This window comes from Homo sapiens, chromosome 9, assembly GCF_000001405.40.
Source record: "Homo sapiens chromosome 9, GRCh38.p14 Primary Assembly".
Lineage (NCBI taxonomy): Eukaryota > Metazoa > Chordata > Mammalia > Primates > Hominidae > Homo > Homo sapiens.
The window spans coordinates 137,978,448-137,996,075 of record NC_000009.12 but is presented as its reverse complement, the minus strand read 5'-3'; the positions used below and the strand labels follow the sequence as shown (position 1 = coordinate 137,996,075).

General features: G+C 47.0%; 1 protein-coding gene across 2 annotated transcripts in view, besides 1 other annotated feature; it reads right to left on the bottom strand.

Moving 5' to 3' along the window:
- Positions 1 to 17,628, bottom strand: part of CACNA1B (calcium voltage-gated channel subunit alpha1 B) — a 246,838-nt gene that overhangs the window by 128,544 nt on the left and 100,666 nt on the right. For both annotated transcript variants that reach the window (NM_000718.4, NM_001243812.2), the window contains exons 13-15: positions 11,826 to 11,938; positions 9,532 to 9,663; positions 9,222 to 9,294 (exon numbers count right to left, since the gene is read on the bottom strand). In NM_000718.4, the coding sequence (NP_000709.1) occupies positions 9,222 to 9,294; positions 9,532 to 9,663; positions 11,826 to 11,938 (318 nt within the window). The remainder of the gene's footprint in view (positions 1 to 9,221; positions 9,295 to 9,531; positions 9,664 to 11,825; positions 11,939 to 17,628) is intronic.
- Positions 4,906 to 6,105: an enhancer, noted in NCBI's record as "CDK7 strongly-dependent group 2 enhancer chr9:140884423-140885622 (GRCh37/hg19 assembly coordinates)". NCBI's record gives its function as "activates an origin of replication core promoter dependent on BRD2, BRD4, P300/CBP, MED14 and CDK7 cofactors, with strong dependence on CDK7, by STARR-seq in HCT116 cells {active_cell/tissue: HCT116}" and the evidence as "EXISTENCE:reporter gene assay evidence [ECO:0000049][PMID:35650434]".

Sequence of the window (17,628 nt, the reverse complement as noted above, 5' to 3'; positions counted from 1 at the left end):
TTGTATTAATTCACATTCTCACTAACAGTGTAAAAGTGTTCCCTTTTCACCACATCCACACCAACATCTATTATTTTTCATTTATTATGGGCATTCTTGCAGGAGTGAGGTGGTATCACACTGTGGTTTTTATTTGCATTCCCCTGACAGTGATGTTAAGCATTTTTCCATATGCTTTTGTATATCTTCTTTCGAGAACTGTCTATTCATGTCCTTAGCCCTCTTTTTAATGAGATTGTTTGTTTTTTTCTTGCTGATTTGAGTTCTTTGCAGATTCTGGATATTAGTCCTTTGTCAGATGTATTGATTGTGAAAATTTTCTCCCACTTTGTGGGATGTCTGTTTATTGATTATTTCTTTTGCTGTGCAGAAGCTTTGTAGTTTAATTAAGTCTCATATATTTATCTTTGTTTTTGTTGCATTTGCTTTTGGGTTCTTGGTCAAGAAGTCTTTGCCTAGCCAATGTCTAGAAGGATTTTTTCTGATGTTATCTTTATAATTGTTATGGTTTCAGCTCTTAGGTTAAGTCTTTGACCATCTTGAGTTGATTTTTGTATAAGGTGAGAGATGAGGATCCAGTTTCATTCTCCTACCTGTGGCTTGCCAATTATCCCAGCACCATTTGTTGAATAGGGTGTCCTTTCCCCACTTTATGTTTTTGTTTATTTTGTCAAAGATCAGTTGGCTGTAAGTATTTGGGTTGATTTCTGGGTTCTCTATTCTTTTCCATTGGTCTATGTACCTATTTTTATACCAGTACCATGGTGTTTTGGTGACTATGACCTTATATCGTAGTTTGAAGTTGGGTAATGTGATGCCTCCAGCTTTGTTCTTTTTGCTGATTTTGTTTTTTTTTTTTTTTTGAGACGGAGTCTCACTCTTGTCACCCAGACTGGAGTGCAATGGATGGCGCGATCTTGGTTCACTGCAACTTTCACCTCCTGAGTTTAAGTGATTCTTCTGCCTCAGCCTTCCAAGTAGCTGGGATTACAGGCACAAGCCACCGCACCTGGCTAATTTGTGTACTTTTTTAAGTAGGGTTGGGGTTTCATCATGTTGGTCAGGCTGGTCTCAAACTCCTGACCTCAGGTAATCTGCCCGCCTTGGCCTTCCAAAGTGCTGGGATTACAGGCAAGAGCCACTGCACCTGGCCTTTTTTGCTTAGTCTTGCTTTGGCTATGCAGGCTCTTTGTTGGTTCCATCTGAATTTTAGGATTGTTTTTTCTAGTTCTGTGAAGAATGATAGTGGTATTTTGATGGGAATTGCATTGAATTTGTAGATTGCTTTTGGCAGTATAGTCATTTTCACAATATTGATTCTACCCATACATGAACATGGGATGTGTTTCCATTTGTTTGTGTCGTCTATGATTTCTTTCAGCAGTGTTTTGTCGTTTCCCTTGTAGAGCTCTTTCACCTCCTTGGTTAGGTATATTCCTAAGTATTTATTTTATTTTGTGCAGCTACTGTAAAAGGGGTTGAGTTCTTTATTTGATTCTCAGCTTGATCGCTGTTAATGTATAAAAGAGCAAAAGAGCTACTGATTTGTGTACATTAATTTTGTATCTTGAAACCTTGCTGAATTCTTTTATCAGTTCTAGGAGCTTTTTGGAAAAGTCTTTGGGGTTTTCAACATAAATAATCATATCATCGGCAAACAAACAGTGACAGTTTGACTTCCTCTTTACCGATTTGGATGCCCTTTCTTTCTTTCTCTTGTCTGATTGCTCTGGTTAGGACTTCCAGTACTTTGCTGAAGAGAGTGGTGACAGTGGGCATCCTTGTCTTATTCCAGTTCTTGGGAGAATACTTTCAAACTTTTACTGGTTCAGTATTATGTTGGCTGTGGGTTTGTCACAGGTGGCTTTTATTACATTAAGGTATGTCTCGTGTATGCTGATTTTGCTGAGGACTTAATCATAAAATGATGCTGGATTCTGTTGAATGCTTTTTCTGCATCTATTGAGATGATTGTGTGATTTTGGTTTTTAATTCTGTTTATGTGGTGTTATCACATTTATTGACTTGCATATGTTAAACCATCCCTGCATCCCTGATATGAAACCCACTTGATCACGGTGGATTATCTTTTTAATTTGCTGTTGGATTCAGTTAGCTAGTATTTTGTTGAGGATTTCTGCATCTATGTTCATCAGGGATATTGGTCTGTAGTTTTCTTTCTTGGTTATGTCCTTCCCTGGTTTTGGTATTAGGGTGATATTGGCTTATAGAATGATTTAGGGAGAATTCCCTCTTTCTCTACCTTGTGGAATAGTGTCGATAGGATTGGTACCAATTCTTCTTTGAATGTCTGATAGAATTTTGCTCTGAATTCATCTGGTCCTGGACTTTATTTTGTTCGTAATTTTTTTATTACCATTTCAATCTCGCTACTCGTTACTGGTCTGTTCAGGGTATCTAATTCTCCCTGATTTAAGCTAGGATGGTTGTACCTTTTCAGGAATTTATCCATCTCCTCTAGGTTTTCTAGTTTATGTGCATAAATAAAGGTGTTCATAGTAGCTTCGAATAATCTTTTGTATTTCTGTGGTACCAGTAGTAATATCTCCCATTTCATTTCTAATTGAGCTTATATTTGGATCTTCTCCCTTATTTTATTGGTTAATCTCACCAATGGTCTATCAATTTTATCTATCTAGATAGACAAAATAAAAATTTTATCCATCTAGACAGACAAAATAAAAATTTAATCTATCTAGACAAAAATTTAATCTAGATAGACAAAAATTTAAATTTTATCTATCTAGATAGATAAAATAAAAATTTTAACTAAAAAAATTTATCTTTTTATTTATCTAAAAAGAACCAGCTTTTTGTTCAATTTATCTTTTGTAATTTTTTTTGTTTCAATTTCATTTAGTTCCGCTCTGATTTTCATTACTTCTCTTCTTCTGGTGGGTTTGGGTTTGGATTGTTCTTGTTTCTTCAGTTGTGTGAGATGGGACTTTAGATTGTCTATTTGTGCTCTTTCAGTCTTTCTGATGTAGGCATTTAAGGCTATGAACTTTCCTCTTAGCACTGCCTTTGCTGTATCCCAGAGGTTTTGATAGGTTGTGTCACTATTATCGTTCAGTTCAAAGATTTTTTTAAATTTGCATCTTGATTTCATTGTTAACCCAAAAATCATTCAGGAGCAGGTTGCTTAATTTCCCTGTATTTGCCTGGTTTTGTGGGTGCCTTTGGAGTTGATTTCCAATTTTATTCCACTATCGTCTGAGAGAGTACTTGATATAATATAGATTTTTTTTTTTTTTTTTTGAGACGGAGTCTCGCTCTGTCGCCCAGGCTGGAGTGCAGTGGCCGGATCTCGGCTCACTGCAAGCTCCAAATTTAGATTTTTTTAAATTTCCCGAGACTTGTTTTGTGGCCTATCATATGGTCCATCTTAGAGAATGTTCCATGTGCTGATGAATAGAATGTATATTCTGCAGTTGTTGGGTAGAATGCTCTGTAAATACCTGTTAAGTCCATTTGTTGTAGGGTATAGTTTAAGTTCATTCCTTCTTTGTTGACTTTCTGTCTTGAGGACCTGTCTAGTGCTGTCAGTGGAGTATCAAAGTCCCCCGCTATTACTGTGTTGCCGTCTATATCATTTCTTAGGTCTAGTAGTAATTGTTTTATAAATTTCAGAGCTTCAGTGTTAGGTGCATATACATTTAGGATTATGATATTTTCCTGTTGGACAAGGCTTTTTATCATTATATAATGTCCCTCTTTGTCTTTTTTAAGTGCTGTTGCTCTAAAGTCTGTTTTGTCTGATAAAAGAATGGCTATTCCTGCTCGCTTTTAGTCTCCATTTGCACATGAAATATTTTTCCACCCCTTTAAGTTTATGTAAGTCCTTATGTGTTAGGTGAGTCTCCCGAAGACAGCAGAAACATGGTTGGTGAATTCTTATCCATTCTGCCATTCTCTATCTTTTAAGTGGAGCATTTAGGTCATTTACATTCAACATTAATATTGAGATGTGAGATACTATCCTATTCATTGTGCTATTTGTTGCCTGAATACCATGCTGTTTTTTTCATTGTTATTGTTATAGAGGTTCTGTTGGATTTGTGTCTTAAGGAGGTTCTATTTTGGTGTATTTCGAAGATTTTTTTCAAGACTTAGAGCTCCTTTTAGCAGTTCTTATAGTGCTGGCTTGGTAGTGGCGAATTCTCTCAGCATTTGTTTGCCTGTAAAAGACTGTATCATTCCTTCATTTATGAGGCTTAGTTTCACTGGACACAAAATTCTTGGCTGATAATTGTTTTGTTTAAGGAGACTAAAGATAGGACCCTAATCAATCTCTTCTGGCTTGTAGGGTTTCTGTTGAGAAATCTTCTGTTAATCTGATAGGTTTTCCTTTATAGGTTACCTGATATTTTTGCCTCATAGCTCTTAAGATTTTTCCTTCATCTTGACTTCAGATAATCTGATGACTATGTGCCTAGGTGATGAATTCTTCTGCAATGAATTTTGCAATGAATTTCCCAAGTGTGTTTTTTGAGTTCTTGTATTTGGATGTCTAGATCTCTAGCAAGGCTAGGTAAGTTTTCCTCAATTATTCCCTCAAATATGTTTTCCTAACTTTTAGATTTCTCTTCTTCCTCAGGAACACCAATTATTCTTAGGTTTGGACACTTAACTTAGTCCCATACTTCTTGGAGGCTTCATTTTTTGAAATTCTTCTGTCTCTGATGGATAGGGTTAATTCAAAAGCTTTTTCTTTGAGCTCTGAAGTTCTTTCTTCAGCTTGTTCGATTCTATTGCTGAGACTTTCCAGTGCATTTTGCATTCCTCTAAGTGTGTCCCTGATTTCCAGAAACTGTGATTTTTTTATGCGATTTCACTGAAGAATTTTCCTTTCATAACCTGTATCATGTTTTTTATTTCTTTAAGTTGAATTTCACCTTTCTCTGGTACCTCCTTGATTAGCTTAATAATTGACCTTCAGAATTCTTTTTCTGGCAATTCAGAGATTTCCTCTTGGTTTGGATCCATTGCTGGTAAGCTGATGTGATCTTCTGGGGGTGTTTAAGAACCTTGTTTTGTCATATTACCAGAATTGTTTTCCTGGTTCCTTCTCATTTGGAACCAGAGGGAAGATCTGCGACTCAAGGGCTGCTGTTCTCTTATCTTGGGGGTGCTCCCTTGATGTGGTGTTCTCCCCCTGCCCTGAGGAATGGGGCTTCCTGAGAGCCAAACTGCAATGACTGTTTTTGCTCTTGCAGGTCTACCCACCCAGTGGAGCTACCAGGCTTCAGGCTGGTACTGGGGAGTGTCTGTCAAGAGTCCTGTGATGTGATCCATCTTCAGGTCTTTCAGGTGCGGATACCAGCACCTGCTCTGGTGGGGGTAGCAGGGGAGTGAAATGGACTCTGTGAGGGTCCTTGGCTGTATTTTTGTTGAGTGTGCTGGTTTTATATTGGTTGACCTCCAGCACCTGCTCTGGTGGGGGTAGCAGGGGAGTGAAGTGGACTCTGTGAGGGTCCTCGGCTGTATTTTTGTTAAGTGTGCTGGTTTTATATTGGTTGGCCTCCAGCCAGGAGGTGGCGCTTTCAAGAGAGCATCAGCTGAGGTCCTGTAGAGAGGATGCAAACTTGCCCTAAGGTAGCCTAATTAAGTATTCAGGTTTCTCAGGGGGTGGGCAGGACCACAGAGCCCCCAGGAGATTATAACCTTTGTCTTCGGCCATCAGGGTGGGTAGAGAAAGACCACCAGGTGGGGGCAGGAATAGGGTGTCTGAGCTCAGACTCTGCTTGGGCGGGGCTTGCTGTGGCTGCTGTGGGGGATGGGTGTGTGGTTCTCAGTCCAATGGAGTTATGTTCCCAGGAGGATTAAGGCCATTAGTCATACAGGTCCTCCAGGAAAGTGGGAGAAAGCCAGCAGTCACAGGCCTCACCCCACTCCCACGCAGCCCGCAGTCCAAAAGGCTGGTCTCACTCCTACCGTGCCCACCCCCAACAGCACTGAGTCTATTTCCAGGCAGCCAGTGCCCAGGGCTGAGAACTTGCCTGTGGTAGTTCCAAGAACTTCCCGTGGTAGTTCTTGGAGCAAAAGTTCATGATGTGAGTCTCCAGACGCTGTTCTGTCTGTCCGAGCAGGAGCTGCAAGCTAGTCCTTCCTCCTATCTGCCATCTTAATCCGATTCTGACCTAATTATTCAATTTCTGAAATGGTTCCATTTCCTGTTTTTTCTTCAGTTAATTTCTTCTTGGGTAAAAATACATTAGTATTTTTTATTCTAAATCATCCACTTTACTAAATGTATAAGCTTTTGTCGTGCTTTCAAATGATCTGGGTGGGTGGTGGTAACTCACTCCTATTTGTGTCTGAAAGTGTCTTTAGCTCTGCCCTCACGCTTAAACCACAGCTGTCTGGATTCAGAATTCTTGGCGAATAGTGATTGTACCCCAGTGTTTCCGTTACTTCTCCATGACCCTCTGGCATCTGTGCTCCTAAGACGTTGGCCATCAGACTATCTGTCATTATTTTGTAGGAAATCTATTTTTCTAGGGCAGCGTATAAGATTTTCTTGAGATCACAATTTGTCTAGGTCTGGAATTATTTGTTTATCCTGCTTGATCATCTGAGCACATGTTCTCCAGGACTCACTCGGAAGGGGCACTGGCCACCCTCTCTTTCGCACCTCACATGGGAGCCTCCACTCCAGCCCACCCTCACTTCCTTCTCTCCAGGAAGCCTCCATGCCCAGCTGGCTCAGCCCCACCACATCCTCCGGCTCACCCATACTCTCTCTGATCACACCCGGCGTACGGTTCACTCTGCTTCTAAAATGTAAATAGCTGTATATTTCATTTCTAGGATTTGGTTTAGGTCTTTTCTTTGTTCTTAGGTGCCTTTTTTCATAATTTTGTGTTTTTAACTGGTTCCCCCTTTACCCCTTGGAGGATGTTAGGCATATTCGGTTTAAAGTCACCTGTGTTTGTTCTGTTATTTCCTTTTCTTTGGGAGTGATTACGCCTTCTGACTGTAGATGCTGTTGGCACTGTCTGGGATGCTGGCTGTTCCCAGCCCTCAGTTTGCAGCTCCACCATGAGCACAGCTGAAGCTGCTTTCTTCCTCCTCACATGCCCTCCCTGCCCCACTCCCAACCCCATTCAGAAGCAGGGGCTCCCACCCTGGGATCTCAGGACCCTGGTCCAGATTCACCTGTGGGAATTACAGACCTAGCCACCAGTCAGCCCTGCCCTGCAGCCTTCCTGGTCTCTGCAGCTCAACAAGCCTTCACCCCTCCTCAGCCTCCTCCAAAGGGCCCAGGTACCTCCCCCAGTGCTCAGAGGGGGCTGAGCCACACCTGCACACTTCTGCTGCCATGGAACTCAGACTCCCAAGCCCATCTGCCTATCTCAAGCCATGTCCTGGTGCCTGGGTCTCTGCTGTCTCTCACCACTGTATGTTCTGTTCCATTTCTATTCCTCAGAGATTTTGTTTTTACTTGTCTAGGTCCTTTTATTTTCTAAGTGTATTTTTTTTATCTTATTGCTGTGTTCAGAGCAGGGGGCATGTAATGTCTGAATCAGAGCATCATCTGATCAGAAAAGCCCACTTTCCTCCCAACTTCAACTTCTCTCCCTCATCACACTCAGGTCTTTTCTTGCAACACACATGGCAAAGCGTGGCTGTGGTCATGGACCATGCCACCCCCCTGGCATGGAGCCCCTCCCTGCAACAGCTTCTACAGGGCAAAGCCTCAGCCTGGCCCGCCCACACCTGGAGTTTCCCATCCCACACCTGCCACCTTGTCGCCACCCCAGACACTCCTCACGTTTTTGCTGCTTTGCTGGGAATGCCTCCTCCCAGTTTCCCTTGCCTGACATTCAGGACCCTACGGGCAGCTCCAGGCCTGTGACCTCCCCGTCGTGTGGCTGGGAGACCACCCACCTCTGTCCCAGAGGCTGACATAGGTCCTGTCACCCACTAAGAGCTCAAAAACATCTGGGAGACCAAAGTCTGGAAGTCACTGGCCTGTGAGCAGCCGAGGCTTTCAAGTCAGAGAAAGGGAGGACAGTCGGAGGCTGACAAGTGCCTCCCACTCGAGGAATAAGAGGAGAGGAGAAGAGGCAGCAACTCAAACATGAGACCAGAGAGGAAGAAGGGATGACAACAGCAAGGCCCTGACAGGCCTGGGGCAGATGCACCTCTGGGAGAAGAGCTGGCTCTGCCTGGCAGTGACTAGGAGCTGACGGGTCATAGGCTCCAGCCCAGCAGGGTGGGGGTGAGTGGGAAGATGTGAGAAAGGGGACAGTCATGGAGGACTGTGGTGCAAATTAGGACAGAACTCCTCTTTGAGCCAATCGTCTAATTTGGTCTGAAGGGTCTGCTGGTAAGACTTCCTCCCTTCGAGAGAGTGGGACCGAAAGGGCCCCTCTCTTCACACAAGTTGTAGGCTCCAGCCCTGACCAAGGGTAGGATCAGCAGCCCCAGGAGCCAGGGAGCCAAGCCAAGCCCCTGGCCTGCAGCAAACACAGCCTGTTGGGCCTCCGTAAGAGGCATCACAGGCAAGACAACAGCCACCATCCTGTTCAGTCTCAGACATGGCATCCAAGTATGTTTCATGGGACAGGAATGCAAGGCATGCTCTCATCAGTAAGGCCAGTCATGGGCAGGACTGTGGGGCCACAGCCTATGGAAGGGGAGAGTACCCAACCAAGAAAGTCCTCGAAAGGGAACCCTCCAAGAGGGCAGAGTCTGCATGAGCCAACAAGGTCTCCGTCGTAGAGAAGTGGGCCCCCAGCCCCCACTTCCCGAGGAGCTGAGGGGGGTAGTTTTCCAGATACAGATGAGAACTGAGGGGGTCACTGGGATCTGAGATAGGAGGGGGAGAAGTTTAGGAAGTGCTTTGTTTTTGTTCTCGGAGAATAAAAAACAGAAGTGCATGCAAGTCTCAGGAGCTAAGAGATACACTGGTGGCTTGAAGGCCAGCTGGGCCCCCCGGGAACTACACTTGCTCCCTACAGTGCTGCCACAGAATCCAGCTTCCTTCACCGTAGGGGCTGGGGCCCCCGGACCTGGAGATCTGCAGGTTGCTGACTGCCTGTGCTTCCCTCGTTTGAGGAACACTGTGTCTGAAAAGTCAGTGATCTGGGCCGTGTGGAGGAACAAGGGAGGGAATGACAGGAGAGTCCGCCTTCCCAGCACCCAGGGGAGACGGGAGCCGGGCAGGCCGCAAATGTGCAGAGCAGGTGCCTTACCTGGAAGACAGTGAGGATGGCGGCAGGGAAGGTGTCGAAGTTGGTTGTGGGAGTCTCATCCTGGAAGTTGAACCTGAGGAAAACAGGAAGGCTTGGGAAGTGGCAGTCCCGTCAGCAGCGAGGCAGCGCCTGCAGGCTCCAGCGTGGCCTCAACCTGCTCGCTTCAGGCTGCAGATGGCTGCACACTGGCCCCTCTGAGGACCTTCCTGGTGGGAAGGTGGGTGGAGGCAGCCTGGGCGGCACCGTCTGCTCTGAGCTCTGCTTCCCTGCAAGCCCCCAGCCTTGAGCTCTCCCTCCCGGGCCCACTTACTGTCCCCCAAACAGCTGCATCCCCAGCAGGGCGAAGACCACAATGAACAGGAAGAGCAAGAAGAGCAGGCTGATGATGGACTTCATGGAGTTCAGCAGGGACACCACCAGGTTCCGCAGGGAGCTCCAGTACCTGCGGGGCCAGGCAGGGGGTCTGAGCCAGCTCCAGACGCTGACTTCACATTCATGGCTCTCTGCAGCCACACTTAAGGCTCCACTGACTTTCTAAACCCTGAGGGCTGCACACCTAGGTGTGAAGTTAGAGCTTTTCTCTGGAGTTTCAGGCCCACTACCCTGGACTTCTCTCCCTGAGGGCCCCATGGGAAGGCAGAGAAAAACACACCCAGTGGAGGACTCACTTCGTCCTCCCAAACTGCTCCCTGTCCCTAGGTTCAGGAGGACGAGGCCACCATCCAGGTGGCCAGGCCCAATCCCAAACTTCATCCTCGGCCCCTCCCTGCCCCTCACTCCTCAACACCCAGTCAGCCACCAAGTGTCTCAGACCAGTGCCATGTGAAGCAAGTCCCACAACTGTTGTCATCAGCCCACAGCAGGAAGAGCTACACCGGAACCTACAGCAGATCTGCAAGCGCTGTGGCCGGTGGCAGAGACCCTGGCTCCAGTGCCCCCTCACCAGGGACAAGGGACACGCGGCGTGGAGAGCTTGTAGGGTGACACCACGCAGACTCTCTGTGGTATCCCTCAACGCTTCCCATCCCAGAGGGCAGTGACCGTGCCCTGCTCATGCACGGGTCCCCATGGCACACAGGTGCCACCGAGGCTGCTGATGGCAACTGAGGGGCCGGTCCCTCATGTCCCTGTGCCTCTGCACGTGCTGTCCCATCTCCCTGGAATGGAGGGACTGCAAGACAGACACTGGTCTCCTTCTGTGCTCACTCTATCCCTGGGCACCCCTGGGCTCCCAAACCATGTCCTTCTCCCTGGCGCCCACATCAGAGGCCCCGCTATCCTCCATGGATTCTCTTACAAAGTACCTGAGGGCTAATGGCAGACGGGATGGAAGACTCTGGGAAAGGAATTGAACCTTCTCCTGGGACTAGCAGGGGTCTAGGCCAGCCTGCCTCAGGACAGGGTCACCTACTTCCTGGGAGAAAATGGAGCCTAAGATGCCAGACCTGGAGGTGGGGTAAAGGCAGCCCTGTGGACACTTCCTGAAGCCTCACACCAGCAAGTTCTGGGAAGGCAACAGAAGTCTGAGGACACACAGCACAGAGCGCCAGTGAGGATTCATGGACCCAGCGGGACTCAACTCTGCCCAAAACTCTTCTGCCTTTATAGCTTCATATCCTCCTATGGTCTTAGGTTTGGATTTAAAATGGATTGGAAAAGACCTGGGATTTCAGTTGCCCTGGGGAGGTCAGTGGGCTTCTGAGAGGTCATCTTGGTCACTAGAGGTGTGACCTATGACCTGGCACTGCACGGGCTCAGTGTCGGCAGTTCTGCTTGTTGGGCCCTGCAGCTGCCAAGGACACACACCAAAGTCCATGCTGGCCCACGTGTGTGTCTGGTAGGGTCCAGATGCTCAGGAGCCTCCGCGGTGCAGCCTTTGCTGCCGATGAGACTGCTGTGAGGAGAGTCTCTCTCTCTCTTCCCCACTACAACTCTGGCAGTGAGGGGAAGGGTTTTCACCCTGGTCCTTCTCTCACTACCTGCATCTGTCACTTCCTGGGCTTCAGTCTCTTTGTAGGCAAACTGCAGCAACTCACTTCCAGAGTCAAGTGGGACATAACTGTAAACATGGTCTTGTCACTGCCATCGTCAGCAAGGTGCAGGGTGGAGAAAGCAGGCCTGAGCACAGGGGCCAGGCAGGTGCCAGGCTGGCTCAGTGAGAAGCTCAGGACCATGGCAGGGTGCACACAGGCTCTCCAGGGGTGGAGCTGCAGGGGAGGTAGGCAGACTTGGGGGCTGGATGATGGAAAAGCTTCCATCTGATGACTTCTGTCTTCCTCATTAACTACAAAGCAAAGTCACCTTTGAAGGCTGGGAAGATGGGGTGGTGGTTTCAAGACAGGAGACGATGGGAAATCGTGGAAAGCAAGTGAACAAGAAAGCTAAAGGGTGTGCCGGCAGCACGGAGGCCAGTCAGGGATGGCCCTGAGGGCAGATGTGGCCCCACAAGGCCGTTTTGGAACCACCTTTTGTATTTAAATCAACTATAAGCCACAGAGAGAGCTTCTGGGTGCTGTGAACTCCTGGGGACAAGCACCCTGTGTGGCTGATCCCACGCCCTCTCCACCCTACACCTGCCCTCGCCTGGGAGCGCAGGGGACGTACTTCGTGACTTTGAAGATCCTCAGCAGGCGGAGGGCCCGCAGCACACTGATCCCAAAGGAGCTTCCCGGCTTGATGGCCGCCCAGACCACTTCAAAGACGCTCCCCACGATGACCTGCAACGGGATGGCATTAGCCTTGGGTGCACCGTATCTGCACCTGTGCATGCAGATGGATGTGTGTGCACACCCTGCGTGGCTGCACCTCTCCGTAAGGAACCATCCTGCTTCCTTGTCTGACAATCAAGCCAGATATGGTAACACAAGGCACACACCTCACACTGAGCTCTTGGAACCTTTGGGAAAGGCTATAGAGTCCCACCAGTCCTGGTACCTGCCCTCCCTCCCACCCCCCACCCCAGACACACCAGGAGGACACAGGACATGGACCAGGTTAGGCCTGCTGGCTTCCTGGCAGACCTTACAACCACCTGGTCTAATACCTCCTCTGTGCTTGACCACAGCCTGGTGACACTGGTGTCTTCTTCAACACCTCTGGAGCTGGGCAAACTTTCAGACAGCCCTGACTGTTAGACTGTTCTCTCACAGACTAGCAAAATCTGTCTCCCTGTAACTTCCCCTCCCTGGTTCTGCCACTGCTCCAAGATACTCAGATTCATAAATTGCATCTTGAGTCTTTTCTTCTCCCAATGACCAGGAAACAGCACATGCCACCAAGAACAGATTATGGCAAGCCTGCCTGTTTGTTTCATGCACTGTTGATGTTGGTGAGCTGGAATTTGTGAGCAAGGTACACGTCCCTCCTTCCAGCCATTCCTCAGATAGACTGTGAGGAGGGCCGTCCTGGTCAGGGCCCGGTGTGAGGGACTCAGAAAGGACAGACCAGTGGGGCTGGAACACAGCAGACCCTTTACCACCTTCCCTCTGGACAGGACAAGCAAGGGGCCCCAAACTGAATTCTCTCCCAGGCCACCATACCTCAAGGGGCACAATCTGGGCTCACAGTCAGCAGGAGCGCCCATGTCTTCTTCATGTGTGTAATTCTCATTTCCTCTAAGCCACACTTCTGCAACTGGTGTGGAGAATTCAAATGTTGAGCCTCTCAAACTCAATTACATTGTATTTGGGACATATATTTTCCAAAGTTTCAGTCATTTCCACCAATTTCGCATCAACTGCAAAGCTGATGAGCTTAACGTCAATGCTCTTACGAAGTCACTGAGAGAACGATGAATATGCTAAGACAGAGCCCTGTGGTACATCTCTAGAGACTTCCCTACAGATTGACACTAATCTGTTAACCAGCATGTCTGGGAATGGCTGTGCACCATTTATGGATCAACTCAAATGCACAGTCATCTGCTGCACATTTCTCTACGTTGTCCACAGATCGCCATTCAGAGAATATCTAACGTTCTGTCAACAACCAGGTACACCAATATGCACAGAACCTGTGATAACCCTATCAATACAACAAATTGGGTAAGCTTGCCACCCCAGTCTTGCCAAGAGTGCCATCTGTTCTTGGTGATCACATGTTGCCCTTGATCATCACCACCAACTTTTCTCTGCACTAGCAAATCATCCAGATGTTTGCCTAGGGTTGAAGATTGTAGTTTTCTAAATATACTTTCTTCTCATTGCCAGTCTTCCAGCATCTGTCCTGTTTTCCACTAATTATCAAAATTTGTCCTCACTGGTTCATGTAGTAGGCAGCCTCTAAGATGGCCTCAGTAATCCCTACCACCCAGTATTCACTCCCTTGTATAATGCTATCCCCTTAAGGATGGGTTGGACCTAGTGACTCACTCTTAGTAAACAGAATACAGCAAAAGTGATGGGATGTCACCTCTGAGATCAGATTACAAAAGGACTGGTTTCTGTCTTGGGAACTCTTAACTCTTTCTCTGAACACCAAATATCATGTCATAAGGACACTCCGGCAGCTGGGAGAGGCCCATGTGACCAGGAACAGAGGCCTGCCAGCAGCCACACCAGTGAGCCTGGAAGCAGATGTTTTGAGGTCCATTGACAGCCATAATGAGCATGAGGCTGGAAGTGAATTCTCCAGCCCCAAATGAGCCTGAGAAGACTGCAGCCTCACTAGAGACTGCAAGCCAGGTGCACCCAGTTAAGCCACCCTGATTCCTGACTCACAGAAACAGTGAAATAATAAACATTTTTCTTATGCCACCAAGCTTTTGGATAATTTGTTCCCCAGCAGGAAAAGTCAATACAGATTTTGGAATCAGAAGTGGGGTGATGTTGTGATAAAAACCTAAAATGTGGGAGTGGTTTTGGAACCAGAGGATGGACACTGAGCAGCACATTAATGAAGGGCTAAAGCGCACTTAACACACAGTTCATAGAATTTTGGACATTAAGCATGCTGCACATCAGGGTCTGCAGGAAAGCGAGGAGAATTTCATAGGAAACTAGAGGAAGGGGTCCTGTTGTGTGCTGGCAGAAAATTTAGCCACACTGTTGCATGCAGCTATGTAAAAAGTAGAAAACAGGCAAGGCGTGGTGGCTCATGCCTGTAATCCCAACACTTTGGGAGGCTGAGGCAGGCAGATCACTTGAGGTCAGGAGTTCGGGACCAGCCCGACCAACATGGTGAAACCCCATCTCTACTAAAAATACAAAAAAATTAGCTGGACGTGTTGGTGGGTGCCTGTAATCTCAGCTACTCAGGAGGCTGAGGCAGGAAAATTGCTTGAACCCGGGAGGCAGAGGTTGCAGTGAGCCGAGATCGTGCCACTGCACCCCAACCTGGGCAACAGAGCGAGACACACACACACAAAAAAAGGTAGAAAACATGCTTAATCAACCAGGGGATCAACCTCAAGAGATCTCTGAGCCAAGTGCTGAAGGTGCCACCTGATGTCTTCTTGCTGCTTGTAGTCAAATATGAGAGGAGAGAGATAAACCAAGGAAACTGCATTAAATAAAAGGAAGCCAGGACTTGCTGGTTTTGAATATGTTTAGCCTCTCCAGATCTCAACATAAATAATGGCAAGGTCTCAGCAAAGATATGGAAAAAAATGCTCAACACCACTAATCAGAGACGTGCAAATCAAAACCACAGTGAGATATCATCTCACGCCAGTCAGAATGGCTATTATTAAAAAGTCAAAAAATAACAGATGTTGGCGAAGCTACGGAGAAAAGGGGATGTTGGTGGGAATGTAAATTAGTCCAGTCACTGTGGAAAACAGTTTGCAGATTTCTCAAAGAACTAAAATAGAACTACCATTTGATCCAGCAATCCCACTACTGGCTATATACCCAAGGGACTATAACTCGTTCTACCAAAAAGACACATGCATTTGTTCACCACAGCACTATTCACAACAGCAGGGACACAAATCAACTTAGGTGCCAGTTAACAGTGGATTGGATCAAGAAAATGCATTATATATACACCATGGAAGACTGCACAGCTATTAAAAAAAATAACATGTATTTTGCAGTAATATGGATGTGGCCAGAGGCCATTATCCTAAGTGAATTAATGCAGAAACAAACACCAAATACCACACGTTCTCACAAGTGGGAGCTAAACAAGGATACACATGGACACAAAGAAGGGAACAATAGACAGTGGGGAGTACTAGAGGGAGGAGGGAGGGGGAAGGGGTTGACAAACTATCTTCCGGGTACTATGCTCACTACTTGGGTGATAGGATCGTGTGTATCCCAAACCTCAGCATCACACAATATACCCATGTAACAAACCTGCACGTGTAACCCCTGAATCTAAATAAAACTTGAAATTTTAAAAAGAGAGAAAGGTGGCATGGTCTAAAGATGAAGCCAAGGGCAAGACTGTGACTTTTATTTGAGATCCCAAAACGATCAAAGGTGGTGCCTCAGAGCACTACTCAGCCACACTTTCAGGCTCTTCAAAGAGATTGAGGGTGCCTCACACATCTGGTCAATGAAGCAGGAACTTCTCTAAGACACTGGAGGTGTTGACCCTTAGCATTTCAACAGGAACACAGACAGAAAAGGTCTAAGGCCTAATAGGTGTGGGTAGAGCTTTTTTCTAATAATAAAGTGAACCCCAAGCTTCACAACATATCCATAAAGTTCTTAGAGGACATATATGCAGAGACATCACCAACTTGGACTGAAAGAATCAAGACAATACAAAACGAAAATAGGTCTTTAGATTCCCAAAATTCTGCCAGTGGGAAGTAGGCTGAGAAAACCATTCAGCTGAAAACCTGAACTACCTTTCATGGAAAAGCAAAGGGAGTGAGAGGGCAGAACCAAGAGCCCAGAGGGCTTCCTGTCTGTAACAATGAATCCCAGACTTTCCCGCATGTGCCCAGCTGGATTTCAGAATCCCTATGGACCAGTGGCTCAGCTTCCTGGTGTCCCCTTGCTGAGCAGGAATATCTACTGCAGTTACCCTATGCCCATCCTACCACTGCACACTGAATGTTGAGTGTAGATAACTCTCTAGTTCCACAGGTCAACAGATTAAGAGGTACCGCAGCCACTGCACTTAGGGAACTACACCGAAGGAGTCTCACCCACACCTGGACCTAACTGAGGATGAGATTCTGGATTTTGAGCTGATACTGTAATGGATAAGATTTTGGGGAGTTGGCAGGGTGAAGGTGTTTTACAATGGGAAGGATATGAGTTACTGAGAGCCAGAGGGCAGGCTGTGGCAAGCAGCCTCTTCGATGGCCCCAGTGGTCATCACTGTCTGGTGTTCACATCCTTGCATAATACCTGCCCCCATATATTCCTCTCCCCGGCCCAGTCACTGGGCCCAGTGACTCACTCCTAACTAAAAGACTATGGCAAAACTGATGGGATCTTTCTTTCAAGACAGGGTTTCTATAACTTCTGTCTTATGTACATACTCTCAGTTCTCTCCCTCAGACCACAGCTGAGGACACTCCGGCAGCCTGTGGAGAGGCCACATGACCAGGAACTCGGCGTTCCAGCAACCAAATGCATGAGCTTGACACCAGATTCTCCAGTGCCAGTCAAGCCGTGGAATGACCATATCCTTGGCCTTCAACTGGGCTGAAGCCTCATGGGGGACCCTGCGCCAGAGATACCCAGTGCCACACCTGAATTCCTAAGCCATAGAAATGTGAGACAGATTTTTGTAGTTTAAAGCTGCTAAGTGTTAGAAGAATGTGTTAGCTTATGTGCAAATTATCCCCATGTCCTGAGATCCAGTCAGTTCAGATCAGAAGATTGGAAGACATGAAAAAGATCCCTGCATCTCTGACGCCTCCATCTCTTCGGCTCCCTTGGCCGATGCACTCAGACCTTCTTTGTGACCAAGAAGTCAAAGGGTAAGAAGGGTTGCTGTCTTCCCACTGTCTACTGAAATCACAGGTCTCCATGTCTCAGAGAGCACCCTGGATGGCCACTGCCTTCCCTTCCTCAGAGATCAGAAGCACAGCATGATGCAAAACCACTACCCCCGAGGCCAGAAAGCCAGGCTCACCCACTGACTCCTCTCAAACTGATGGGCAGCCTGGGGCCAGTCACACAATGTCTGCCGTTATCATCAGTAAAATGAGAGTCCTTGTGAGGATTCAACAAAATCACAGACACAAATGTCTACCACCTGTGTAAGTACAATGCTCATGAGAGAAAAAGTCCAATTAAGCTGAATTTTCTAACTGAAGCTTTACTACCACGGTCCAGGCCCCTCTCTGGCTCCTGTAAACTCTGCCGAGCTCCAAACCCTCCCTTGGGGGGCGGCACTCCTACTCCCCACTCCTTCCTGAGGAGGCAGTGCTCCCACCTGTCACTCCTTCATGGGAGGGCACTCCTTCATGGAAGGGGTAGTGCTCCCACCCTTCACTCCT